Source organism: Homo sapiens, chromosome 11, assembly GCF_000001405.40.
Source record: "Homo sapiens chromosome 11, GRCh38.p14 Primary Assembly".
Lineage (NCBI taxonomy): Eukaryota > Metazoa > Chordata > Mammalia > Primates > Hominidae > Homo > Homo sapiens.
This window is the reverse complement of record NC_000011.10, coordinates 5,429,182-5,457,127: the sequence shown is the minus strand read 5'-3', so window position 1 is coordinate 5,457,127 and position 27,946 is coordinate 5,429,182. Positions and strand designations below refer to the sequence as shown.

Here is a 27,946-nt window from a genome sequence, read left to right as displayed (position 1 = left end):
AGTATGGGGTTCAAAAAACTACCTTTGGGGTACTATGCTGTATTAATTCATTTTCACATTGCTGTAAAGAAATAATGGTTCTGCAGGCTTACGGGAAGCATGATGCTGGCATAGGCTCGGCTTCTGGGAAGGCCTCAGGAAACTTAAAATCACTGTGGAAGGTGAAGATGGAGCAGGCACATCTGATGTCCAGAGGAGGACTAATAGAGAAGTAGGCAGTGCCATACATTTTTAAACAACCAGACTTCATGAGAACTCACTCACTATCATGAGAACAACATCAAGAAGATGGTTCTAAACTATGCATGAGAAATCTGTCCCCATGATCCAGTCACCTCCCACCAAGCCCCACCTTCAGCAATGGGGATTATATTTCAACCTGAGATTTGGGCAGGAAATGTCATATGCTCACTACCTGGGTGATGAAATAATTTGTCCACCAAACCCCGGTGACATGCAATTTACTCATGTAACAAACCTGCACATGTACTGCCTGAAATTAAAAGTTGAGCAAAGAAAAAGTAACCAAAGAATTCAAAAACAAAGTTTGATTTTTACCTTTATTTTAGACCAAAATTCAAGTATTTTTGCTGTTTCAATAGCGGAAAATGTTGAGTTCAAAAAAGATTATGTTAAATAAAAAGAAGTTAAAGAGTTTTTAACCCAAGGTCAAAAAAACAAAAACAGGGCTTAGCTTAGACCTTTTTAGGATTAGAGCTGCAGGAGTGGCCCTACATTTTTCTTATGGCATCTGTCTCATGAGGGAGGGAAAAATATAAATGTGCATTTTCCATTAGAACCTGAAAATCAGTAGCTCTTTTAATTAATGCTGAAAAAAGGAAGGTGAAATTAAGGTACAAAGGAGCCAGAGGCTTTTTGGGAGGCTCATATTTTCTTGTTCCTTGCCCTTTCTATGTTACACCATTGGGTTTCTAAGTAAGGCCTATGGTCAAAAGAATGTATCCCTCGCTGCTTCTGAGGTAGGAATCAGTGAGAGTTTACTTTCATTTGGCGGCTTCCCTAAGCCTTGCCTTTGCATTTATGTATTTGTTGTATATATTTGAAACTAAAATATCAAAGCATTAAAATTATTATTTCATGTTGAAATAGGAGCTTCTAATATGAATCAGAAAAGTTATTATTTAAATTGACTGAAGACCATACTTTAAACCACTAAATATTCTAATAATTTTCCATTGGAAATCATACTAAGTTATGCTATCCAAACATTCTTCTAAAAGCAATCTATTTAGTGGGCCAGGACACATATATTATTGGTGTCTTATTGTACCTGTAGACATTTTTGAAAAAAATCTGAATCCCAAGTACTTACATTATCTCATTTTTAAAATAGCTCCCTCTTTCTGACTCTCTCTCTTGTTGGTATTTCCTCAATACAAAGAGAAAAAACCTCTAGATAACAATATGCTTTGCTACTACGTGGTTTCTGGATGAGTTTCCATGGTGAGTTAAGTTAGACTACCTAGTGCATCTCTCTCTCTCTCTTTCTCTCTTTCTCTTTCTCTTTTTCTCTTTCTCTCTTTCTCTTTCTCTCTCTCTCTCCCCCCTTCTTTCTCCCCCAATCCCTCGCTCTCTTTTGATCTACAAGTAGATCTAAACTTAGTATGACAGCACCAAAATTAGCACCAAGGAATTTCTTACTATATCCTACCTCTGGTATCAAGGGAAGCGTATGAGAAGGTCTGAAAGAATTATTTTCTGGTATCTAAACCATAAGTGCTCTAGTCTGTCTATCCTAGGCTTTTTTTTTTTGCAACTGGAAATCCTAGACTGACTTAATTTCTAACATCTCTTAACATGTCATTTTGTGGAAGACAGTTAAAATCTCAAGAAGGAAAGAGAAATAGAAATTGTGCCCCTACCACAATTCCCCCTTTCCCCCAAAATTCTATGAGTCAGATATTTCAGATATTGAACATTGTTTTCTGTTGGTAAGGATTGAGTGGTGGGCAGATAAAAGAAGTAAAGAAGAATCTGGAGATTTTCCTAAATGGCAATATCTATCAGTTTACCTGGATCACATTTGTTCATACATTTTATGGTGAGTTCTAATAGTTAAGCTGATTTCACTTTGTGAAGTTAAAGCAATGTATGAGTGTTTGAGAATGACAGTGGTGGGGAAAGCAAAGGCAGCAATGGTAATGTTAAATGATGCCAATTTGACCGTCAGGCCATATTTATACCGGTTGGGTGCTGCACTGACACTAGAGAGAGATTAGTGTTGAATGTCAACTGGACCACATATTATCTGTGTTAGGCTGAAGAATTAACTTAATTCTCTGTGTCTTAGAGGATTTGTATGAATATTAAGTGAATTAATACACACAAATAATTTATAATAGTACTTGATACATTTTAGGACTAAGTTTGTTAATTATTATATTAGTAATATTCATTATTATAGAAAATAATTCCTAGCTTAAATTAGTCTTCCTCTGTAAAACTTGTCTAATTACTCAATTGCCCCCAATATTTATCTTTCTAAGAATACTGTTGGTATTTAGTGAATGTACTATTCATTTGGAACTCCTTGTTTTGTGTTATAAGTTTTGCATCACCATCTCCTGGCCTACTTTTCCCGCAGCACACAATCTATCTTATACTTTGATGATGATGATGACGATGCTACTGATGAGAGCCTATGGCCAAAATAACAGATTCTAAAGCCAAGTGTGAAAGTCATATTTTGATGTGGTGAAACATGCGGAAAATGGCTCGGCGGATTTCCTTTGTCTTGGCGCTATAAATGAGAGGGTTGAGCACAGGAGGCACAAATAGGTACACATTTGACATGAGGACATGTATGTAGCATGGGACATGCTTCCCAAAGCGGTGCACTGTGGAGACCCCAATCATTGGCACATAAAATGCAAGTACAGCCAGGATATGTGACACACATGTGTTGAGAGCTTTGAGGCGTTCCTCACGGGAAGCAGTGGCCATGACAGAACGCAGAATGAGCACATAGGAGAGGAAGATAAAAAACAGGTCCATGCCAAAGGTGGATACAAGAACAAAGAGTCCATAGATGCTGTTGATACTGATATCAGCACAGGCAAGCCTCATCATGTCTGGGTGCAGGCAGTAGGAGTGAGAAAGAACATTGGATCTGCAGATAGGCAGCCTCTTAATAAGAAAGGGAAGAGGGAAAAGGGTGATGAAGCTTCGAGCAGCTGCACCTAAACCCATTGCAGCAATGACTTCAGTGGTGAGCACAGTTGCATAGCGCAAGGGGTCACAAATGGCCACATAGCGGTCAAAACTCATGGCCAGCAGAATACCTGATTCCATCATGGAGAAGAAGTGAATAAGAAACATCTGAATTAGACAGGCATCAAAAGTGATGTTGCGGGCATTGAGGCAGAAGGTTCGGAGTACAGTGGGCAGTGTGGCCATGGATATGGCCACATCACTGAAGGACAACATGGACAGGAAGTAGTACATGGGCTCATGGAGGCTGGGCTCCACTCGCACAGCCTGCAGGATCACTGTATTTCCCCCAAGGGCCACAGCATACATCACGCAGAGGGGCCCTGACAGCCAGGAGTGAGAGCTCTCCAGACCAGGGATACCAGTCAGGAGGAAGAATGCAGGGTGAGTGACATTGAACAACCCCATAGCAAAACAAACTTAGGGTACTTTTCAGAGTCAGATCTTCTGACTTGGAGAATTCTAACAGTTGCACTTGCTGGAGGACAAGAAATCAGGAGATAAGAGACAAAGCGATGATGTTGACATAAATGGAAACTGACGCATTCATGAAATCACTGCTTTTGAGATGATGCAGGCAAACTCCTTTTCTTCATATTTTATGATGATCAGCCTGCAGGCTGAGCTAATATTTCCCTCTATTTTATGAACAAGGAAGACATTGACAAATACTTCAATAATAGAAATTAGTTAAAAGGAAAATGTTTAAACTACATTTCTACAACTTGCATATATTTTGGAGGCATGATTCAATAGAAATATGCTAACTACAATTCATAGCCACAAGAGAAGAAAGTCAGGAGTTTGTGTTATCAGTAGCACTTGGAAATATTTAAATATTTTCTTGAAAATGTTGCTTAATTCATATGTATCACAAATTAATGAGAGACTTTCCCAGAGCAAGTTTTGTATCATGTTGTGTGCTTGGATGGAGAGGGAAAAGGACAGTGGGCTGTGGAGGTAATTGACTGCCTCCAGAGGCAGTCATGAGCTTTTCATTGGCAGAATTACTGCAAAAAAGCAACAACAGAAATAACATATTTTTGTGCAAAGGCACAAGGCTGTATCTGTTTCTGGAAAAATTATGTATTTGTCCCTAAATATTCTATAGGTACACTAGCATTCGGTGTGGGAGAGCATTGTTCCAAATACAAACTTACATACCATCACATGGTTAGATGTACTCTCAAAATACCCATTAGTCACAAGGACACATTAATGTACCTTCACAACAGGTAGTAAGAAAGCTCATTCATAGTCTAAGAAGACGCTCATTCACATACTCTCTCCATATCTCCATATCTCGTAAAGTCGCTCTTGTTGTGCAAATATATTCAAACAGTCCCTGTTGATTTTTTTTTTTTTTTTTTTTTTTTTTTTTTTTTTTTTTTTGAGACAGAGTCTCTCTCTTTTGCCCAGGCTGGAGTGCAGTGGTGCAATCTCGGCTCACTGCAACTCCACCTCCCGGGTTCACGCCATTCTTCTGCCTCAGCCTCCCGAGTAGTTGGGACTACAGGCTCCCGCCACCATGCCCGGCTAATTTTTTTTGTAGTTTTAGTAGAGACGGGGTTTCACCGTGTTAGCCAGGATGATCTCGATCTCCTGACCTCGTGATCCGCCTGCCTTGGCCTCCCAAAGTGCTGGGATTACAGGCGTGAGCCACCGTGCCCGGCCCCTCTTGATCTTTATACCATTTAACATGTAGATCTTGTCCTCATACTCTCAGTCTGCACTGACATATATGCAGGATTTATACATGTATACACACTCATAGACACATAGATTTGTATACTCACACAACACTTCTATCTACATGCTTGGGGACTGCCCACTGATATTAATCTACTAACCCACACAGGCACTTTTTAAACCCTTAATGGCTTGTATTTATTTACCATTTTTCTTATGCTGGCATTCACATATTATTTCTTACAGCCATTTCTCTGTCACAGTGATTGTATTGTTTATTCTGTTTTTGACACACTTTTGTGTTCATTGCCTCATCGTGGATGAGGATACAGAAGGCTAGAAGGCTTTTCACTAAGCAGACATTTCAAGCTAATAGGTCACCCTCATTTTAGAGAAGGACCCCAGAATTACATACCGCTGTTTTTCCTTTCTCTTTCCTCTCCAACCTCTAACAAAGCAAGACCGGACCATGCTCTCAGAGTTCTTTCTGATGGGAATGAAGGAGAAAGGGGACCCAGGAACATATGAGGTATCTAAAAGTAACAGAGGTTGTGGAATGGGGTGCAATGAAGCATTGTCACCCCAGGAAGCATTTTTAAAATATCCCCAGCAATACATAACTCACAGGTACTATGGTTTCCAGCAAGGCAGTGGCTGTCCCTCCGTGTTGTACTGAATATGTCCCTTCTGGTCTTAGAGCTCAGTCTGCATATGCTTGTGTCTCTTCAAGAACTCTGATTACTTGGGATCCAGAACTGATGTTTGTCTCTTATTTCTCCCATTTGACTACACTCTCATTCTTCATATAAAGTCTTGTAGAAAGTAATCACAGTACATAGAAGAGAACCAAGCCAATGTAAAAGTAACAGAAAGAGAAGGGAGAAGAAAACAGGCTGAAAGCAGGATTTTGTTCAGGGCAAGGCCAAAGCCATTCTGGGTCTGGGGACTTATGCTTTAGTATTTGTAGAAGAAAGACTGCCTGACTGTTCCAGAATTATATCCCTTCCCTTACCTTGGGGATTGCTAATTTTGTGGGTTGTCTGGACAGATAGGAATAAAGTAATACTGAGAAAGAAAATGAATACTTATTGAACGCATGTGATATGTCAGCTGCTCTGCAAGGAACTTTACATTTATTTTCTCGTTTAATACTTAACAGATATGGACACTGAGAGCCAGTGAGATGAGCTTTCCTCACAGTTTATGGAGACCAGGTGATAAAACATTAATTTAAAGACTTTTAAGACTCTCTTCTCTCTTTTTCTTTTTTTTTTACTTTAAGTTCTGGGATACATGTGCAGAGCATGCAGGTCATGTCCTTTGCAGGGACATGGATGAGGCTGGAAGCCATCATCCTCAGCAAATTAACACAGGAACAGAAAACCAAACACCGCATGCTCTCACTCATAAGCGGGAGTTGAACAGTGACTCTCTTCTCTCTTACCAAGGTCTTCGAAGTATCATTAAGGCATTGGAGAGTAAGTTTAAAAGGAAAATAGAGGAATGCATTTCTGAACAAAGATTTCACAGGTACCCCTAAACAAAGTGAGTGGTTAAAGGCAGATACATAAGAAAAAATTACACAAAAGTACCTGTCTCCAAGGCTGAACACAAATTCTCCTATTCCTGGAACTAGAACCTTGAGATTTCTGAAACCATATAGGAACCAGGTGGTTTAGAAGAAAGGACCCCGAGGGTGTCAGGAGTCCTGACCCTGGCTCTGGAAGGTACTGGCTATATAAGCGTAGAAATATCTATTTCTTTTTTTAGACCTATGTCTTATTTTTATTCATTAATTAATTAATTCATTTATTTATTTGAGACTGAGTCTTGCTCCATCATCCAGGGTGGAGTGCAGTGGTGCAATCTTGGCTCACTGCAACCTCTGTCTCCCAGGTTCAGGTGATTCTTGTGCCCCAGCCTCCCCAGTAGCTGGAATTACAGGCGCCTGCCACCACGCCTGGCTAATTTTTGTATTTTTAATAGAGACAGGGTTTCACCATATTGGCCAGGCTGGTCTCGAACACCTGACCTCAGGTGATCTGACCACCTCAGCCTCCCAAAGTGCTGGGATTACAGGTATGAGCCACCACGCCTGGTGTATGTCTTATTTTTAAGGACATTCTCTGAGATCCTTTATGGCTTTGATGTTCTTTTACTTAATTTTACTTTTTAATCAAGCAAAGAATGCCTGTGAGAGTTTGCTATGGTGCTGTTATGGGGGCAGAAAGAAGGTAGAGGCTGGAGGAATGTACAGAAAGGCTGTCTAAAGACCACAGTTTTCAATCTGTATCATGGATAATAAAGAATGAAAATTATCAGCTATTCATTGTTCATCTACAGTTTAGCTGATTTCTCCTTTTAATATCCTGGAGATTTTTACGTATTTTGTTATCACTGAATTCATAAGGGAAGAGCAAAATTAAACCACATGTGCTTCAGCTGTTTGTCATGGGATAGGTTGTGACCACTTCCCTTCTAGATTCCCGAACCGTTCCTGTATCCTGAGTCCTGCTTCCCTCTCTGAATTTGCAGCAATGTTAATGAGCCACAGAAACTTTGACCTTTGAAACTTGGAGTCACAGAGAAATTGATTATGGCAAGTAAGGACTCAATGAATCGCTTGGGGTTATACAATCAGTACATGGCAGTGCCAGAACAAGAACCCCAAGTCCAGAGATCTTTCCTGCTCCTTTGCTCATTCTACTAAGATGCTTCTATCAGATACCCTCCACCAGTCTCTTCCACTTCCCCTCACCATACCCCTTGCCCAGTCTAATGCTTTCATGGAGCAGGCTTCAGGAGAATCAGCTGGCTTATTCCTATAGAGTTTCAGAACTCACCAGAAGAGAGACTGATGAGACACCCACAGAACAAGTTCTTCCCTGTCTCTGCTGAAGTGAATTCATCCTTGCCACTTTTATGTCTCATGACAGGCCCTGCGGTAGAGGGCAGTGATGCTGACTTTGTGTCTGAAAATTCTTCAGGGAGGTTTTAGTCTCCTGAGGTCCATAATAACTACTGAGAATAAAGCCTGTGCTCTTTTAGCTGAAAAAGAACTTAGCAATCTGTCAGACCAATTCTCTGCTCCACTCAAAACATCTTCTAGTGATAGACAGGCAATCGCTGTAAGAGAGGAGCTCATTACCTCCTAAGAGATTCTGGCTTTATGTGATGATGACCAAGCCCATCAATTGAGGTGCAATCAGAAAGTGACTATTTTTACTCTTCTTGTCTCTTTAAATATATTGAGTGGGGCTGGTTCTTCTTTGTTATTCCTGGATGAAAACTCTGTTCTTTAAATTTTCTGGTCACATTCAGATAATAAAATATCTTCTGGTGAATAACTAGAAGGTTTAATCTAGAATAATAGTCAAACTTTCCAGCATTCAGAGCTACATCCTTTCTTCTTCTTTCATCCTTCATGTGCTAACTCTGGTTTTTGGCTTCTCCTCCCAGAAACAGACAGATGGGGGAATGGAAAGTTCACAATTAATTGGTGCTGCAGTTAGTTGTTGTCATGTTAACTGGGTCTCTTAAATGTATAAAGCTGACTCTTTCTTACAGTTACTTTCATAGGTTATTCTTAGAAGCTTCTTCTCATTTTTTACTTGTTCTCCACTTGGTTTAAGCTAATATATCATTATTCTGTGTGGTTGCTTATAACTCCTTCCACAACCTAGATTGCTCTTGTGGAATCTTGCAGTCTTTTGGATAGGACATAAGACAACACCGTGCCATCTCTCTCTAGCTTGTACCCCATTCAAGAAATGGTCAGGCTTTTACAACAAATGCCCTACCTCAATGCAACAATAGTCTCTCCTTAAATGTTGCTATCAGAGCAGAAAGGTACGTTTATCAGTGTTAATTTATTCATTTAGATTAACATCTACTGGGTGTGGATCATATTAAGTGACTCTGTTGGCTTCACATGGATCAGTCACAATCTAACCTAGGAACAAAAATTAGGGTTCAGTTATGGTCTGGTCAGAATATAAGAAACACACCAGCTCTTTTAATTGAGAAAAATTAATGAATTGTTAACCAAATATTGGCGAACACACAAGACAAAAAGGGAATATGAAGGTATCATTGTAGGCAGCAACTTGAGGACATAGCTTCTAAGCCTAGGACTAGAGGAACAAAGGTAGGAATTTGGCATAATTAAACCTTACAAATTTGAAACAGGAGTGCTGCAAAGCTGAAACTCAGACTTTGAGGAGTGGTCACTGTTTAGGTGATTCTGGGGTCTCAAGAATTCAGAAGAGAGGTTCCCTATGACTAGGACTTACTCTTCTGAGATGGGGGTTGAGGGGAGACTTATCTGGCTAATTCTGAGGTCTTTAAGAGGGCATGGTAAGGCTGGTTCTAGAAGTGTTGGAAAGCTTCAAAATATAACCAACCAAGGCCACTGGAATTGAACCACTAGTACTTGGGTGAAGAAGTGCCACTGGGGAAAGAGCCACAGAAAGGAAGTAGGGTACAAGTTCCTTCTTCCTGCCCCAGCTTCCTAATGCCCCATATTTGTAGATCTTGGGAGCTGGTTGGCAAAGGAGGAATGCAGTTTGCAGAGGCTCAATCCCAATATCACAAAAAATGGTATAGAAGATATGGGATTGAGACTGAGCGGTGATAACATAATAATAAGTACAAAAAAACTGAATATATTTAATCCTGGAAATTATTTATACAGATTTCAAAAGAAATGAGGAACTGACCAGCAGATAGTAACATAGTCCAGAGATTTGTAACAGCAGGAAGCTACTACCACCTATAGACTGGAAAGCCAAAGGTGGGGTTACTAGAACTACAGCCAAAGTGAGCCCAACCAGTGGAAGCTGGAACCATAGAAGAGATGCAGCTCACACTAGAGACTCTGTCTGAGGCAGGGGAGTGGAGTGAGAGATACCTTGCATCTGTCAATGCTTCCCAACCAGCTGTATCCATCATATTCTTCAAGTAATGATTGGATAGGTGTGATATAAAGAGTCACAAAAGAGTCAGGAGTGGACTTGAGGGTAAACAGGCTTAGCCTTGGTACAGAACAGAAGCACATTTTGTTAGCCTCATTCTTATTGTATTATTATCATTGTGAGATACATGATCTCCTAGGGGCTTTCATTTTCATGGTCAGCACCATGCAAAGCATCAACTTGTTGTAGTCCATGAAAGATGAAAGTAATTGATGTTTTAGAGTTCTAGGGAGTAGAGATTCTGTTGTACAAAATGATCTTCTCCCTTAAAGCCAGATGCCCAGATTTCTCTGGGAACTACTTCTGGCAGGTACACTATCAAACACGATTTATATCCCCATATCCCTAAAACCTTACGCACTGAAGTAGGATCAATGCCTCTTTTCTTCACAACACTGTTCAGTTCTGCCATGAAGGCAGTGATCACACTCTATTATAGTTGGCTCTGCATGTTTCTGTGGCATCCACTGGACAGAGAGTCCTGTGGGGGAAGAAATAGATGTCCCTAGAATGGGATATAGGCATGGCAGGGAATGTTTATTTGTTGAACATAAGTAGTTAATCTTTGGCAAAATAGCTTCAACTGAAAAATTTGATTCTTTTCTTTAGTCATATAAAAATATCAATTATGTCAAATACGTAAAATTTATCCCATAACATGCTAAATACTGAGTTGATATAAAAGATGCTTGGGGTTAGTTTAAAGGACATTGATATCACTTGTATTAGTTTGAATTTTCACTGGTGTTTTGAACATGGCATAATAGACTATGTCTTGCTTCATCCTTTTTTCATTAAAAATTTCCCAACATTTTATTATGAAAAATTTCAAACACAGAAAACTTGAAAGAATTTCACAGTGAATACCAGTATACTTATGACCTAAATTCTACCATGAATATTTTATTATCCTTGATTTCTTTTTTTTTTGGGTTACCTCATGAGAGTTATTCTACTTTCTTTTTTTATGTATGTATTTTTATTATACTTTAAGTTCTAGGGTACATGTGCACAAAGTGCAGGTTTGTTACATATGTATACATGTGCCATGTTGGTGTGCTGCACCCATTAACTCATCATTTACATTAGGTGTATCTCCTAATGCTATCCCTCCACTCTCCCCCACCCCACAACAAGCCCCAGTGGCTGATGTTCCCCTTCTTGTGTCCAAATGTTCTCATTGTTCAATTCCCACCTATGAGTGAGAACATGCGGTGTTTGGTTTTTTGTCCTTGGGATAGTTTGCTGAGAATGATGGTTTCCAGCTTCATCCATGTCCCTACAAAGGACATGAACTCAGCATTTTTTATGGCTGCATTTGATTTCTTATTTATCTTCTGATGTATCCATCTTTCTACTAGTTTATCAATACAGCTCACCTTTTGGATGCATTTCAAAGTAAGTTGTAACAACAACACACTTCTCCATAAATAGTTCAGCAGTTATATTATTATTTGTAGTTCAATACATTGTATAGTTCTTTGATTTCTTTCAGACATATACTGCACAAGTCTTACATGCACACTAGATAAGTTTTGATAAATGCATTGGCTTTGTTGTGAAATATGTTTATAACATATTTCTAGATAGGGCTTGGAGGTACATTTAGCCTGTTAGGTGGATTAGTTTTTAAATATTTATGTTCTTTGCAAGGGTAGGTGCTGCGTCTTTATTGGTCTGTATACTATAAGTGCTGATAATAATATCTAGACTAAAATGTTGCTCAAAAATCTGTTTTTATCTGTTTGGTTGGTGGAATAAACTGATTATAATTTTTAGGTTCCATATAGTAATGGAGTAAAAGGAGTGCTTGCATAAGGAATTTGTTACATGGATGCTAGCATGCATTTGTACAAAAAATACATAACACACTTAAATTCCACATATGAATCTGAATAAATATGGAGATCTGAATTTGTTGGATATTTTATTGACTTGTTAATGAGAATGTGAATATGTATCTGCAATATATATTTTTAGCTATTTAAGCAGGGAAATGTATTTAAAACATATTTGATCATTTCTTTAAGTCTCTATTTCATAGTCTTTTTCTAAGTTTTGTCTATAATTTAAATTGGTCTATATAATCAATGTACGAATACATAGATTATAGTGTGTGTTTGATGTGACAATACATACAATTAGTGACTAGAGCACTGGGCAATTGCCTGAGTATATTTGTATTTATCTGTTTGTATGTATGTAAATTTGAATGAGGCAATGTGAATGTTAGTAAATAAATAGTTAAATAGGTCTAAGGGGGTATCTGTGAAGGTCTCAGGAGAGCTATGGCTATTTATGTTTCTGTGCATACATGTATGCAGTGTGTTTACATTCCCTGATCAAAGAAGGATTAACACACTAATAGATATGGATGATTACATCAGGGATAATTGTGCCAAGAAAGATATTCTCCTGGGAGCAATTCTCTTATGGCCCAACTCACTCTTCACTGATACCACCTTCCCAGTTATTTCCATGGTCCCTCCTCCCACCACACACAAGCAAGACTTGGTGTTCTGGAGGGCTCATAAATTTATAAGTCTTAGGAGAATGAGCTGATGCCACTGCCAGCTGTACCCACAGCATAGTATATCCAGCTACAAGGAAAGCATCTTCCATCCAGTGAGTGCTCCCTGCTTCACACTGCCCACCTGACCTCTTTATCTAGATTTTATTCTAAATTTTAACACTTTTGCCAAAATTCCAGGCAGCCTTTAACCCTTATATCTCCCCTTCTAAATGTGAGCCAAATCTGACCCCTTCCAAACTCCAGGATCACAGACACCTGATGCCAGGTTTCCATCTAAATCAAAACCATAATACCAAACCACATATCACTGAGTTAAGGTACTGCTGCATCATTTATAGATTTTTGTCTCAAGGATATTTTATACTTCTTATTTAAAAGCCTACGATTTGAATGTTTGCCTTTGATACCTGACTTTTGTGTGTACAGCTGGAGAAAAGTTACAGAACCAAATGACTGAAGTCATTTAACAATGTAGTTGTCAATCTTAGCTGGATTTTCAGTATTGTGTATGTCAGCATATATGTATGTATATGGGAAAATAATTGGTGGAGATATTATTGTGGTTTTGTTAATGCTGATGCATTTGTGACACTGTGTGTGTATAAACATTTATTCAGGAGAGCTTAAAAATAAGAGAATATTTGAAATATATTGCATAATACCAATGAGTCTTCCTAAGTTGTTGCATGATAGTATTTTGTGTGAGTAGGGGAGTGTTTGATAGTTTGTGTGTATGTGTGGGTATGAGATAGTGCCTATAAATACCGGGTGTGTAAGTATAAGAGTGTAAAAATGTATATTTTTCTGGTACCTTTGAGTGACTGTGTGTGTGTGTGTGCTCATGATATTCTGTGCATTGCTTGTGTCTCTCCACCTTCTTGACCTTCCTTCCAAGATAGGTCACATTTAGGAAGTTTTCATGGACACTCCTGTGGACAAAGCAAAGAAAAAATGTTTTGGGGGTGGTGGTGGGGAATTTTCTCCATGGAGGAAAAGTTTTCAAAGTTGCTTTGTAGACTGATGAAAATCTGGAAAATAGATAAAATATTACTTTCTAGACTACCTCAATTTGCATGCCAGTGGTTACAGACGGGGGTAAACCTATCTTGTGGATGAATTCTTAGAAGAGTCTTTTTATTTCTTCATGACTCAGAGAAAATCTTGCAGCAAAGGTAAAGAAAAAAAAAAAACAGATCTGAACAGGCTAGATCTAAAAAGACCTCTTAGAGACATGGACTTTAAATGTGGGTTTAGGGGAAGAGAGGTTTAGCAAGGAGAGTAGCCCATAAGGAGAAAACACTACTCATTAAATGGATGCTTTGCCTTTTCATTGGGAGGAGAGAGAAACCAAAGGAATAGATGAATCTCTTCTCACTACCTATATATATTTGGGATTATGACTGATATCTCGATATGATCCAGCACCTTGTCACCATCTAATTTCACTCTGTTTATGAGGAGTGGTAGGAATAAAATGGGAACTCTAAAATGAGAAAAATAATAAAAGAGACATTATGCTGAAATTCCAGAATGGAGGTTTAATTTTGAGATATCAAATACCATGAAAATATAGTAGAAGAGCTATTTTAAATAAAGGTTGAGATGAAGTCTCTTATGGTGTGACTTCTCAGTTTGCATCATTCTGACTATTGTTTATTTTGCCTGAAGTTAGGCTGAGGCTGCTTAAAAAAAAGACAGAAAAGATAATTCAGTAAAGAAGGCAGAGAAGGAGAAGCCAAGGAAGAAATACAATTGTGGACAAATAGTACCCTTGAATGGAGAAGGTGGTTCTAAACAGGTGAGTTAAAGACAGTGTTAACTGTAGCAAGAAGATCAAGTGAATTAGGAGAGAGAATGTTTTCATTAGATTCAGAGACAAAGAGGTCACTAGGTGACCATAGAGAAATTTGTTTCAACTCAGAGGAGGGGAGTGTGGAAGCCACGATATAATGAATTGAGCAGTGATAGAAGGTAATGTAAGTAAGATTGAATCCCGACATCGAAGATCTCAGAAACAAGCTGGAGAAGCAGGCAAATAACTAAAAAATAATAATGATAAAATACAAGCTTCTATTTTCAGGTACCTGGAGAGACAATTTTTCAAGAAATTTGGTTAAGAATTGGGAAAGGGTCATAGAGTGGTGGGTAGAGAAGAATGTTATCGCATCTTTATGATGGAATAGTCTTGCACATACTTATTGTCTGAAGGAAAAGAGGCAGAAAGGGAGAGAATGAATATCCACTGGATTAGTGAAAAAGGCTCTGAAGGAGTGACAAGAAATGAAATCCTGAAGGTGGAGAGCCTGTCCTTGGAGAAGGAGAGAAATCTCTTTCTCAGAAAATAGAGGTTAAGAATGAATAAAGGTGTGTATAAGTTTAAAATTTTGGTAATGGTTAAGTAATAATTTTCTCTTTTTTTATTCCCATAAAATACTTTCTTCTTTGGTTTTATCCAGCTGCATACCTGGTTTGATTGTAGAATTTATTAAAGGTTGCAGTTTACTATATGAAGGTGAAAGAGAGATAAAGAGGAGATGAAAATACCAGTTTTAGTGTGGGTGAGTAGTTCAGGAGAAAAGTGAGGAAGAAGAGTTCATAGACCAGAGGAAAATGGGGGAATCATGGAGACTCAAGAGCAAGTGCACGGGCATGAGAAGGTTGGAAGGTAGAAGCCTAGAGTAAGGATATGAAAACAGTAAATTTAGGATTTCAGGGATAGAAAAGTTTTTGGCTATGACAAGTTCAGGGGCAGCCATTGGGATTGGGAGGCTGGGGTGAAGTCTGAGCTACAGGTTATTGAATCTGTAAATTTATAGTAGTAGATGTTCCATCTATGCTATCTACCAAAGACTTTCCAAAGCCTAGGATGCATTTCCTCTTTCTGGTCTACCAGAAGCAATTGTTAATGTTGTCTCCTATTATGCCTTGCTATGTTATGGGCACTCATTTGATCATCAAACCACAGAGTTTCTACTATGGCCTAGATAGTGAGCAGGGCCCTGGTGGTACACAAACGATTAGAACCCGGTTGCTTCCTTAAAGAGATGAGTGTCTTACTGGGAAGGCAGGAATACAGGCAATCATTTTCAATCTATGACCTTTTGTTGGAGACAGGATATCTGAAAGAAAGTGAAGAAGTTTCCCAACACACCCTCTTGGGTCCATTCCCTATCTATATTCTCCCACCATGCTGGGTCTCAATGGCACCCCCTTCCAGCCAGCAACACTCCAGCTGACAGGCATTCCTGGGATACAAACAGGCCTCACCTGGGTTGCCCTGATTTTCTGCATCCTCTACATGATCTCCATTGTAGGTAACCTCAGCATTCTCACTCTGGTGTTTTGGGAGCCTGCTCTGCATCAGCCCATGTACTACTTCCTCTCTATGCTCGCTCTCAATGATCTGGGAGTGTCCTTTTCTACACTTCCCACTGTGATTTCTACTTTCTGCTTCAACTACAACCATGTTGCGTTTAATGCTTGCCTGGTCCAGATGTTCTTCATCCACACTTTCTCCTTCATGGAGTCAGGCATACTGCTGGCCATGAGCTTGGATCGCTTTGTGGCTATTTGTTATCCATTACGCTATGTCACTGTGCTCACTCACAACCGTATATTGGCTATGGGTCTGGGCATCCTTACCAAGAGTTTCACCACTCTCTTCCCTTTCCCTTTTGTGGTGAAACGACTGCCCTTCTGCAAAGGCAATGTTTTGCATCACTCCTACTGTCTCCATCCAGATCTCATGAAAGTAGCATGTGGAGACATCCATGTTAACAACATTTATGGGCTCTTGGTGATCATTTTTACCTATGGTATGGACTCAACTTTCATCCTGCTTTCCTACGCATTGATCCTGAGAGCCATGCTGGTCATCATATCCCAGGAACAGCGGCTCAAGGCACTCAACACCTGCATGTCACACATCTGTGCAGTGCTGGCCTTTTATGTGCCCATAATTGCTGTCTCCATGATTCACCGCTTCTGGAAAAGTGCTCCACCTGTTGTTCATGTCATGATGTCCAATGTCTACCTGTTTGTACCACCCATGCTCAACCCTATCATCTACAGTGTGAAAACCAAGGAGATCCGCAAAGGGATTCTCAAGTTCTTCCATAAATCCCAGGCCTGAGGAAGGCTGAAGGCCCCAAAAGCTCCTTTGGAGGAAGGATTGGGACATGTTAACAACTTAAGGAATGCTAAAGTAAGGATGAAGAGGACCCAGGATCTTGATAGTAGTGAATGTATCACTAATAAAATAATATTTGACTATAAAATGGCATACATATTTATTCAATACTTATGTGAAAATTATTGTGCTAGTTGCTACTAGGCATGTTATAATGGTGAGTATGAAATATTGTCAAGTAACCAGATAGACATGTGAAGAGAAAATATAAAAAAGAGCCATCGGTATCCTGAAAAATTCTTGTTTGACATATACGGGAATAATGAAGTTCAGCAGGGCAAACAGAATTTATCAAAAATAATTCTGCTCCTGCCCAGAGTGAAGGAGATAATAAATATTAAAGAGAGACAAAATATATGGAGGCTTTGTATTTAATGCAAGAGAGAAGATCTACTTTGTTTGTGGTAATAAAAACAGGCTATGTTGAGTGGTTATGAAGTAGCTTGTGAAGGATGAGAGAAGTTAGAATTCTTGATTCAGGATGGCAGGAAGAAAGAAGGGTACTGATTTTGGCAGAGATAATTGCCTGAGAAGAAACACTTAGGCAGAAACGTTTAGAACAGTACTATTCCAAGTATGGTCTACTAAACAATATCATTGACATTTCTGGTAGCTTTATAGAGAAACAGATTCTTAGGCCCCACATAAGTCCTACTGAATGAGAACTGCTTTTGATAAGAACCTTGGGTGATTATACCTTGAGAAGGACAATGTTTCTCTTTTCTGACAGCACTCAGGTATTAGATTGATGCCCATCTGCTGTGCAACAAGAGTAACAAAACTCATGATTAACAAGAGTTTGGAAAAGTGGTTCTCGATATATGATTTCCAGATCAATATCATCAGCTTTGCATCGAAACTTGTTAGAGATGCAAATTCTGAGGACTTTCTTTAGACATCTGAACAAAAAACTATCAGGAGTGAGACCAAGAAGTTTGTGTTTTAATACATTCTGCAAGTTATTTCCATATCTATTAAAGGTTGAGAACTTTTAACCTAGAATATTGGTTACAGATAACTGTTTAGACAAACGGGGAGTTTCCAACTGGGACACTGGGGCACAAGGTCTTGAGAGATTGCTGAAGTAAACTTGTGAATGACTTTTAAAGTGGGAAACTCAGTGTATCACAATTAAGCATATGGTATTGTTGGTGAAGGGAAGTAGAGTAGATTTATAACCTTAATATCTCCATGAGACAGTGCAGGTGGAAGACAGAAATAGCTTCAGAGGAGAATTTGATACACAATTTCCAGCCACCCCACAGTCATAATCCCATATTGTGCTTTCCTTCTTTTCCCTCAATTCCTACCTCCTGTCATGCCAAACTACTTGACATTGAAAATTCAGGCAAACTCCAACTTTAGGGCTCCCATTCAGGCAAATAGAACTGGAAGAGAGAGAGAGAGAGAGAGGACGAGAGAGAGAGAAAGAACAGTTGATTGTCATACTGAGATGGTTAGGCAAGAGAAATTTGTCAATGGAACTTCACTGTACACAAGTCTCCTGATCAGGAAGTCTTCGGAGACTTTTCTGCAAATCTATTAACTCTTTTTCTTTTCTGCAGTCTATTAACTTCTTCCCTCTTTAGATGGGATATGTTTAATCTGGTTGTATTTTTGTTTACCAAGCGTTTACCTGCAGATTGCGTCTATCTCTGCTTTGCTCCATTGTTAAAAGTTTAACTTCCACTCCACAGGATATATTTATTTCTCTATTTAAGCTTTGTTGTGGGGAGGAAAGCTTCAAAATTTCCCCACAAATGACGTTTAATACAATAAGCCCTCGTCTTGAGATTTGCATGGATGTTTTGTTTAGTATTACCATTATCAGAGTGAACAAATATTTAGAGTTTTTCTTGACTTATGCCCTCATTTAATGGAGGCAGAAACTGAGTTTGGAAAAAGACATTTTAAATATCTAAAAAAGAGCAATAGATAATGGCAGTCCAAGCTAAAACTCTGCACTCAGCACAGAGTTGGTCACACCAGTACATGTGAATTAAGGGAATAACCAAACAACTATTTAAATGAATGAAAAAACTGGATCCAGTCTGATGTTTAGATCCAGATCTGAGTTTTAAGCTCGGAATTCAGAGATCTAGACTCTGGGTTCTGAGCACAGAGTTGCACTTTTGAGACTGGATAACTGGGGGGGGGTGTTGCTATGAAGTTTGGAGAATTTGTCTCCAACTTCTTCATTATAAGGAAGGAGTTGAAATTTCATTTTCTCAGTGGAGAGAGAGGGCAGTATCTCCAGGTTTGTTCCCCTTCATGCTGCCTCTAATAACATAGCTAGAGTCATTTTACATCATGACTTCTCAAAGCCCTGCCTCTCCTTGCCAGAGATTTATGCCCAATATGAGGCATCATTTGTTTCCTTCTTTGTCCATGATTCTGTGACCTAACTTACAAGGTCATGATTCATGATTACTCCTGAATTTCATCTCCTGGTTCCCAACGCATAATTTTTGATCCAACCAATCCTATAACAATAATGAAAAGTAGAAGGTGTTCTTCTGCCACTGTTCCTCTGTTCCTTTGATATTTCAGTGCTCCACATGGGGAAGAGAACATTACATCTTCTATTTCCCTCCCTGAACCATCGCACCACTTGATAGAAAAGGGAGAGAGCCTTCCTGCTGTTCCTTCTCTCAATACACCCTCACTCTAAAACTGAGATGAACAAGAAGTAAAATGGATTATTTAATGGGAAGTTCAGGTGTTGGGAAAAAGAATCTGTTTGGGAGACCTGAAATCAAAACCCGCAAGAGAACTTAACGATAACTAGCATGTGTGATAAATTCAATAAAAAGAAACAAACCTATGACTTCCTTCTTCTCATTTGAATCTCAATCCCTTGTAGTTAGGTGCTATCCTTTTTTATAAATCAGGTTCAAAACTAAAGGAATGTTAATCTTCTAAAATCAGGTGGCAAGGCCAGGACTTAAAATTAGGTCTGTATGATTTTGAACCCATGGTCCTTCAGTATCCTGGAATGTTTCTTTTGGAGGAGACCCTTAACTTGTAGTAACTTGGCAGACCATGGGAGTGGGAGTTCAGGAGGGAAGTGTAGGACTAAGTGGATTGAGGCAGTCAGGTCATATCCTCTCTGGCTTAAATCCTGGGGTTGTCTCTGGCCTTCAAGCTCCAGTCTCTGAGATGTGAGCTCTGGAATTTTCCCGTTGGAATCTAAGCTTTAGGTTTTGCCTGAGATCTGAGTTTTAAGCTCAGAATTCAGGGATCTAGACTGTGGGTTCTGAGCACAGAGTTGCACTTTTGAGACTGGATAACTGTGGGGGGTGTTGCTATGAAGTTTGGAGAATTTGTCTCCAACTTCATCATTATAAGGAAGGAGTTGAAATTTCATTTTATCAGTGGAGAGAGGGCAGTATCTCCAGGTGAAGTAGTTTCTTGTTTGCTTTTTCTTATCTTTTTATTCCCAAGGTAAGATCTAACCCTCCTCCTTTCCCCAATACCAGCACAGCATCACACTCAGGCAAAGCAGGACCCCAGGGGCTCTGGCATCTGGGAACAATTCCGCAGAGGCATAAAGGCAGCCTCCTCTCTTGGCTGGTGCCCACCTGAGGTCCATTCTAGAGCCATTGTGAGTTCTGGTCCTCTGCCTCTCAGTCCAACTCACACTTCACAAAGCTCCCTCAAGGTGATCAAGACACTTTGATCAGTCTGTGTCTTTGAGGTATGTATACAATAAGTGTGTTTCTAGCTACAATTCTGCTTGTGCTTCTGTATGTTTCTCTCAGATTCTCTCATCATGCCTCTGTATCTTTGAGTGAATCTCTATCAATGCCTGTGTATGTTTGCATAGTTGTGCACAATTTAAAAATCCTCAAACCTCACTTTTACATAGGTTTTCTATAGAAAGAACAATATTCATTCAAATACCCTCATGGTCTGCCAGCCACTTTCAGATAAAGCTGCCAGAGACTGCTTTAGCAGTGAAAGACACATGGGTGATCACACAGCAGGGGTTGAGAACTTGCCTCTGTTCTGTCCCACACAGATCCACAGACATGAGATTCTGTCACTGAATAGGAGACACCTTGCGAGTCTGGAATCTCAGGCCTGTGAGCAGAAAGAGAGCTGAAAGACCATTAACCTCGATTCAGCAGATGCTGACATTCTCCTTCCAGAACTTTCATGAAGAGTTATCCAGTCTTTGCTTGAACACCTTCACTGCCCAGAAGCTTATTATTTCATTGTGATTTTAGAAAAGTGTTTCTTACATGAACCCCAGACTGTCACCCTGTGATCTCCACCTATGGCTCAGCACCTGTCATACTGATCCCAACCCGTCTCTACTGCAGTCTCCTCTGGTCAAAATGAAGCATCACTCATTCCTTCAGTGTCCTTAATGTGACTTAATTCCCTTTACTTTTTGCGTGTGATGCAGTCAGTTTAACTCCTATTTAGAATAGAGAACCAAAAACTGAAGGTACTTCAGTTACAGCCTAAGTAGTATATTCATCTTTTATTCATTAATGATTTTTTTAGCATATCTTTGTGTCAGAATCATGTCGTGTGTTGAGAAGGACAGGATGAACCAGGCACAAGTCTGATCCTAAAAGAGCTCAAAATCTGACAGGAAGGAGGTATAAATGTAATTTTAATAAAATAGAAAAAGTCTGTACAAAGTATTACAAAGTTACAGATAAGAAAGTTATTGTTTCTGCTAAATAGTGTTAGAAAAAACTACAGATTTGTTTTAAGCTATATATCACACTGCTGATTCATATTACACTGGACTATTGATTGGTCACTCTGACAGGAGGACTTTTGTGGTGCAGAAATTAAAAGTCAGACACTTGGAGAAATAGCTAAAGGGATTTAGGACAGGTTAAGAGAAGAAGGAAAGATTACAGGATATCACCATGGAAACCTCAGATACTATTTATTCAGTTATTTATTCATCCAGTTAAAATATTTATTAAGCATCTGTTAGGTATTTGACCCTGTGCTAGTATGGGTTATCTAGTGATAACAGACAAACAAAAACAGTCAATATCATCCATTCTTCTTAGAATTTATGGTCTGGTAGGGATACAGACATTAGATAATTACACAAGTACATACATGTTTACAAATTAACATAAGTGTTCTGCAAGAAAATAACATATTCCATGAGCAATATTCAGTTAATACTTGATGAAGATTATTATGTCTCTGAGTCTGCAACATTATCTATAATGTAGAGAAAGCACGTTTAAGACCAATGTGAGAAAGCACTTCATATCCATGAGATCTGTCCAGGATAGTGGTTTAGGGATGCGATAAACTCCCCATCACTGGGAATGCTGATGCTGAGCATGGGTGACAATTGTATAAAGATGGACATTCTCTCAGTGGGTACAAGATTGGACTCTTGATTCAGATTCTAGAGAGCCTATTAAGTTTATCACTGAATATATAGCCTTTTGAGATGGGGCTATTTTTCAAAGGTGACTTAACCCCTGTTCCCCACCACCTGACCTCCAGTTTGCGTAGGAGGCTAGAAAAAAAATCTATCTGCCATTCAGTCTTTTTCTCTGCCTGGAAAAATAAAGATAACCGACTTCTCCAGCATCTTCCCATTTTTCTCATTTAGATGTCTTTTGCTTCAGAAGGTTGGCTGCTGGCCTTTATAGGGAAGACCATGGGACTTATAATTGGAAGAACTAGATTCTAGTCCCAGATCAGCCACTTACGGGTTTCAGGCAAGTCACTTGATATGGCTGTTATGAGATTGAAATAAGGCATCTTAGGAGTGAAGAAATTGCCCCTCTGGTTGTCATTTTCCATCCACAGATTGAGTTAATCTTTTGAGCTATGGTCTCCTTGACGTTGCCAATCTTTTCACTGTCCTGCATGTTCCTCTTTTCATGGTCCTTCGAAGTCTTGATTCTTACTTCCTGCTGAAGATGATGCTTTACCAGGGACCAGCATCTTCAGGTGAGGCAGGTCAGGATCTTCAGGAGAGATAATTAGACAGATTCAAAAGAGTCCTGCCAAGCCCTTCTGTCCCTTAAGTGACCCTCTAGAGAGGTGCACTAGCCCCAAAACCTAGGCTACATCTGTGGGCACCACCCTGGAGTGTTATAAGCAAATCCAAGTCAATTCAGAGGAGCTTCAGGATGCTGAGTGGTCTAGTGGATGATGAAACACAAATAAATGTTTAACTTGTAGGTCCAGAGTGGAGTAGGAAAGTTATCTGAAAGTCATGGAGGGAGACAGGGAGAGCTTGCAAATTTCATTTTAGTCTAAAATGCTGTCACTGTAAAGGGGCTGGAATGTTACAAAATGAATCTGGAGTGGTTCTCAACATTGGGTTCATCTGAGGAGCTTTAAAACATTGATAATTAGGTACTACACCCTGAGATTCTACTTTAATCGGTATGGGGTGTTACCTGAGCACTGGGATTTTTAAGTTCTTCAGGTGATTCTGATGCATAGCAAAGGTTGAGAACCGCTGATCAATAAGGTAGACTCAAGATAAATAAATTGGTAAGAGGCACAAGGAAACACATTTCACATGTCAGGAAAGTCATTAATTTTGAGAGAGGACAGAGTTCAGCAGAGCTGGTGCATGAAGAGTGTAGAGAGTAAGAGAATGCAGGACCTAGGATCATTCTCATAATTACATTGCTCTTGTCTCCATAGTCATAGTTCTTTTTTTTTTCATTTTTAGATGTAAGATCTCATTCTGTTGCCTAGGCTGAAGTACAGTGGTGCAATCATAGCTCATTGCAGCCTGGAACTCCTGGACTCAAGTGATTCTTCTGCTTCAGCTTCCCAAGTAACTGGACTACAGGCATGTGCCACCATGCCCAGCTAATTTTTTAATTTTTAATTTTTAGTACAGATGGGGCCTTGCTATGTTGCCCAGGCTGGTATGACTCCTGGAGGTCATAGCTCTTTGTATTCCCTTGACAGTACATTCTCCTGACCATACATTTATTCCAGCAGGGCATTTTTATTAAACTTTTCAGATGTATGAACAATTTCACATCAACACTGGGTAACCAGAGGATAAAGAATTGGTGCAGGATCACTGACTCATACATCAAATCTGTTGAGTGAATGTGTGAACTGGTGATTGGAAGTAATTCAGTTTTTATACCAGTCATGAGCACCCCTTCCTACTTCACTGTTATTGTCTTTAAAAATTGATTTTATAAATTTAATTTGTTATATTACATTAACTATGTTACATTGTATTATATTACATTATATATTATTTCAACCTTCTGACTGGGATTAGCTATTTCTCTCTGATCTCATGGCCACTGAAGGAGTCTTGTATCTCTGTGTCTTTGTTTTCATCTTTGCATATATTCTTGGTTAAATATGGTCTTTTAGAAGCCACTACATCTTTGATAGTTTTCCTAAACTCTGTTTGTTTCTAACTCAGAGGTAACTTGTGTATTAGCATAATTTTCACCTGAAATGTTTATATCCTTCATTGTCCATATTCCTATTTCTCCCTTTTTCAGCTTTTTAAAACCATAGTCTCACTTTCATTCAAAACATTTTTCCCTCTCTGAGGTGGAATGGGGATACATGGAGATGATCTTTACTAGGGGTTCTTCCCTTCTAAGGTTCACGTTGTCAAAGCTAAAACTCAGTTCTTTCTGATGACTCCAACCTAGATCAGACCACAGTTTACTCTCATCTCCATAGTGAAATTGGTAACCTTACTACAAGAGAAGATCATGAATCTAAACTGTAATCTAGGCTCTGCAGAAACTGACTTTTAAGCTGTGGCCTGTTATTCAATTTTTCTCTCTGGGTCCTAGTGTCTCTCTAAGAATAAAATATCTTACTCAATATCCCATGTAATATCTTGCTTATCCTACAAAAAATCTAAAAAGCAAGTGTATTTTAATCCCCAGTTTACAGGTAGAGATACTGAGAAAATTAATGTCACATGTTCAGTAATTTGAAGCTCTGCAAATGGATTCTGAAAGACTTTAGTTCAAAATACTGAATATGTGACATTAATTTTCTCATTTTTTCTTACAACCAGAAAGAATAGTATTATTACATTCATGTCACAAGTTAAAACTCAAACCAAGCCAAACAAAAACAAAATAAAATTTTGGATCAGAGTATAAATAAGTTGAACACATCACACATCTAGTAACTGGCTGAGTATGGATTTTGGCTCAGGTCTGATTTATTTATTCCAAAGTTTCTGCTCTTAATTTTTAAGCTATGCTGTCTTTCACAAGATTGAGCAGTCTGAAATATTGCATGTTCCTGCTCAAATGTGGGAGCTAAAAAAGTTGATATCATGTAGGTAGAGTGTAGAATGATAATCACCAGAGGGTGGAAAGGCATGTGTGTTAAGGATAGGAGAGGCTGGTTAATAGCTATAAACACATAGTTAGATAGAAGGAATTAGTTCTAATGTTTGATAGCAGAGTAGGGTAACTAGAGTTAACAACAATGCATATTTTTCAAAGTAGCTAAAAGAGAGGAATTTGACATGTTCCCAACACATAGAAGTAATAAGCACTCAAGGTGATGAATATCCTAAGTACTTCGACTTGACGATTATACATTTTATGCATGTGACACAATGTCACTTGTATCCCATAAATATGTACAAATATTATGCATCCATAAAAAGTATTTAAAACTTTTTTAAAAACTTAAAAAGATGGAGCAGTCTGAAATATCTCTTTTCCAAGTAACATTTAGGATTCTGGAACTCAGGAGAACAGGAGGAGAGAAGAGGATGTCTGTTATACTTTTATTCAGAATGACGTAGATGACTCCAACTTTCTTGCTTCCTGCCCCATCTCCTTTCTTCAACTTTTCAGGTTGGCCGCTAAGGCAGAAGATCCAACGGTTGGGGACTAACTTCAGTTTTTTTCAAATGGCAGGCGAAGACTGATCTCTGCTGTTGGTGGCATGGGAGCTGAAAGCAATGAAAGTCTTGACCTCCTATCTGTCTTCCTGACTGGCATCCCAGGACTGGAGGCCCAACATGGTTGGCTCTCCATCCCTTTCTTCACCATGTACATTGTGGCCATTGTGGGAAACATCCTAATTATGGCAGCAGTGCAGGAAGACTCTGCCCTACATGAGCCCATGTACTTATTTCTCTCCATGTTGGCTGTCACTGAGGTGGGCGTCTCTGTGTCTACACTGCTACTGTTACAGGCATTCTTTGGTTTGATGCCCACAGAGTTGACTTTGATGGCTGCCTGGCCCAGATGTTCTTCATTCACACCTTCTCCTGCATGGAGTCAGGGGTCCTACTAGCCATGAGCTATGACCGCTTTGTAGCCATCTACAACCTCCTGCGCTATACAGCCATCCTGACCCTGCCCCGTATTATCTGCATGGGTCTGGGCATTACACTGAAGAGTGTGGCACTCATGGCCCCACTTCCAATCCTTTTGAGGCAACTGCCCTATTGCCACACTAATGTCCTCTCACACTCCTACTGCCTCCACTCAGATCTGATCCAGCTGCCTTGTGCAGATACTAAACTCAACAGCATCCTGGGCTTAGCCATTGTTCTCGCAAATTTCGGGCTGGACTCATTGCTTATCGTGGTCTCTTATGTCTTGATTCTTTATACAGTGATGGGCATTGCTTCTGGAGAGGGACGGTGGAAGGCTCTCAACACATGTGTGTCACATATTTGTGCAGTGCTTATATATTATGTGCCCATGATTGGGGTGTCTGTGATGCATCGTGCTGCCAAACATGCTTCTCCCATTGTCCACACACTTATGTCTAGCATCTGCCTTTTGGTGCCACCTGTACTTAATCCCATCATCTATAGTGTTAAGACCCAGACAATAAGACAGGGAATTCTCACCTTGTTTTCCTGCAAGAGGGAATTGCTCTGAATCACTGCAAGGAGTCAGGAACTGTCATTAAATTCATAAATTCCGATAATGTTTCTGCTATGGGCAAAGCTCTACATTAGGCATTTTGAGGAGGAATAGGAACAAGGAATTCAAAGTATTGCAACAGGCTTGAATCTGAAATGCAAGAGTTATTCCTAACCCTTTCCATCTCACATTTTATTTGTGTATGTGTGTCTCTGTGTGTGCACATGTACATGACTTTCTCTTCTAACCAGATATGGTGACTTTGGGGCAGAAGTAATGGATTTTCCTTTTCCTCATTTTCTCAAAACTCCTAGCAAAAAAGCCTGACAAATAGTAAGTTAACAGTAAAAACTTGAGACTTAATGAAATTTAAATTTAAATAAAGCAAAATTCTATTTTTATGGGTTAGGTAGGGATTACCTAACCATATCTTCCAATTAAAAAAATATTATCCTAGGAACATGTCTTTGAGTAAGGTGAGCATGCTCTCTGGTTTTCTCCAGATATTCATGGTTTACATCTGTTTTCCTTAGCATTATTATTAATGTTACCTTCTTTTACTCTCAAAAATGTTCTTGATCAAACAATAAATTGTTTATTTTTGTTTACATTTACCTATGAAGCAACTTCTTGTTATGTAAGAAAAGAGACTCTTCCTAAAACTTGCTGTCCAGTGGTCTCACACCCAGAATTTATGTACCGACACTCTGAGAATGAACAGCTGACCAAAAGACCTCAACTGAAGCATGAAATAAAATATGAACAATGTCACAATGCCCAGGCTACAGATTCTAAGAATCTCAGCAAAAGCAGCAAATTCTTCTTTAGTAGAATCCCAGGCTCAATTTTAGATAAACACTTATTGGCAAATAAGTCTGATATCACTGTTCCTGGCTATACCCTTTTTCTATTTCCTCCCTTCCTTTCATGCTTCTGTGGCTTTACCGTGCATGTGGTGCTTTTATTCTTATCTGTTCCCCATCCTGCCCCTTCCTCAGCCCCATAATCATGGGTCTAGTGGGTCCCCTCCCCTCTGCATCTGCCCATGTTTGCCTAGGCTTCCTGCAAACCTTGGTCAAGTGGGAACGACCATCTTCTCATCTCCTAAACACACAGGCCTTTGTATAAAGTGAATTTATGGAACTGTGCTGATTGATCAGTGATTAGTGTCACTGATCATTCGCACTCACTTTGGGGCCTCCAATTACAATGAAAATATTGTCCTCACCACATATTATTCTCCTTGACTCATCCAGCTTACAAGGGTTGTCTTTGTAAGGTTGTCTGTGACTTTTTTGAAATACTTAGTGTGTTTGTAGTCACTGATTGGTTCTTCCAGCCCACTGCACAGACTGAGACCCTGGTATTGCGGTGAAGAATTTATTGACACTAGCCACACAGGAGATGGAGTTATTACTCAAACCAGTCTCCCCAAACTCTCAAAGGCTGGGGTTTTTCAAGGGTAGTTTGGTGGGCAGGGGACTAG

The 27,946-nt window shown here is 39.4% G+C and overlaps 3 protein-coding genes and 1 pseudogene across 4 annotated transcripts in view, besides 1 other annotated feature; 3 read left to right on the top strand and 1 right to left on the bottom strand.

Annotated features, from left to right (window-relative positions):
• OR51B5 (olfactory receptor family 51 subfamily B member 5) overlaps nucleotides 1-27,946 on the top strand; it is a 165,335-nt gene that overhangs the window by 48,525 nt on the left and 88,864 nt on the right. The gene's annotated exons all lie outside the window — the stretch shown is intronic.
• OR51I2 (olfactory receptor family 51 subfamily I member 2) lies at nucleotides 610-7,805 on the bottom strand. Its single transcript, NM_001004754.3, has 2 exons — nucleotides 7,764-7,805; nucleotides 610-3,869 (listed from the first exon to the last, which is right to left on the bottom strand). Exon 2 carries the CDS (start codon nucleotides 3,637-3,639, stop codon nucleotides 2,701-2,703), a length of 939 nt encoding a protein of 312 aa, NP_001004754.1. The 5' UTR covers nucleotides 3,640-3,869; nucleotides 7,764-7,805; the 3' UTR covers nucleotides 610-2,700.
• Nucleotides 4,123-4,696: an enhancer, noted in NCBI's record as "NANOG hESC enhancer chr11:5473662-5474235 (GRCh37/hg19 assembly coordinates)". NCBI's record gives its function as "activates a minimal SCP1, AML or CMV promoter by ChIP-STARR-seq in naive H9 embryonic stem cells {active_cell/tissue: H9 hESC(naive)}" and the evidence as "EXISTENCE:reporter gene assay evidence [ECO:0000049][PMID:30033119]".
• OR51I1 (olfactory receptor family 51 subfamily I member 1) lies at nucleotides 15,614-16,558 on the top strand. Its single transcript, NM_001005288.3, has one exon. It carries the CDS (start codon nucleotides 15,614-15,616, stop codon nucleotides 16,556-16,558), a length of 945 nt encoding a protein of 314 aa, NP_001005288.1.
• OR51K1P (olfactory receptor family 51 subfamily K member 1 pseudogene) lies at nucleotides 25,526-26,472 on the top strand (annotated as a pseudogene).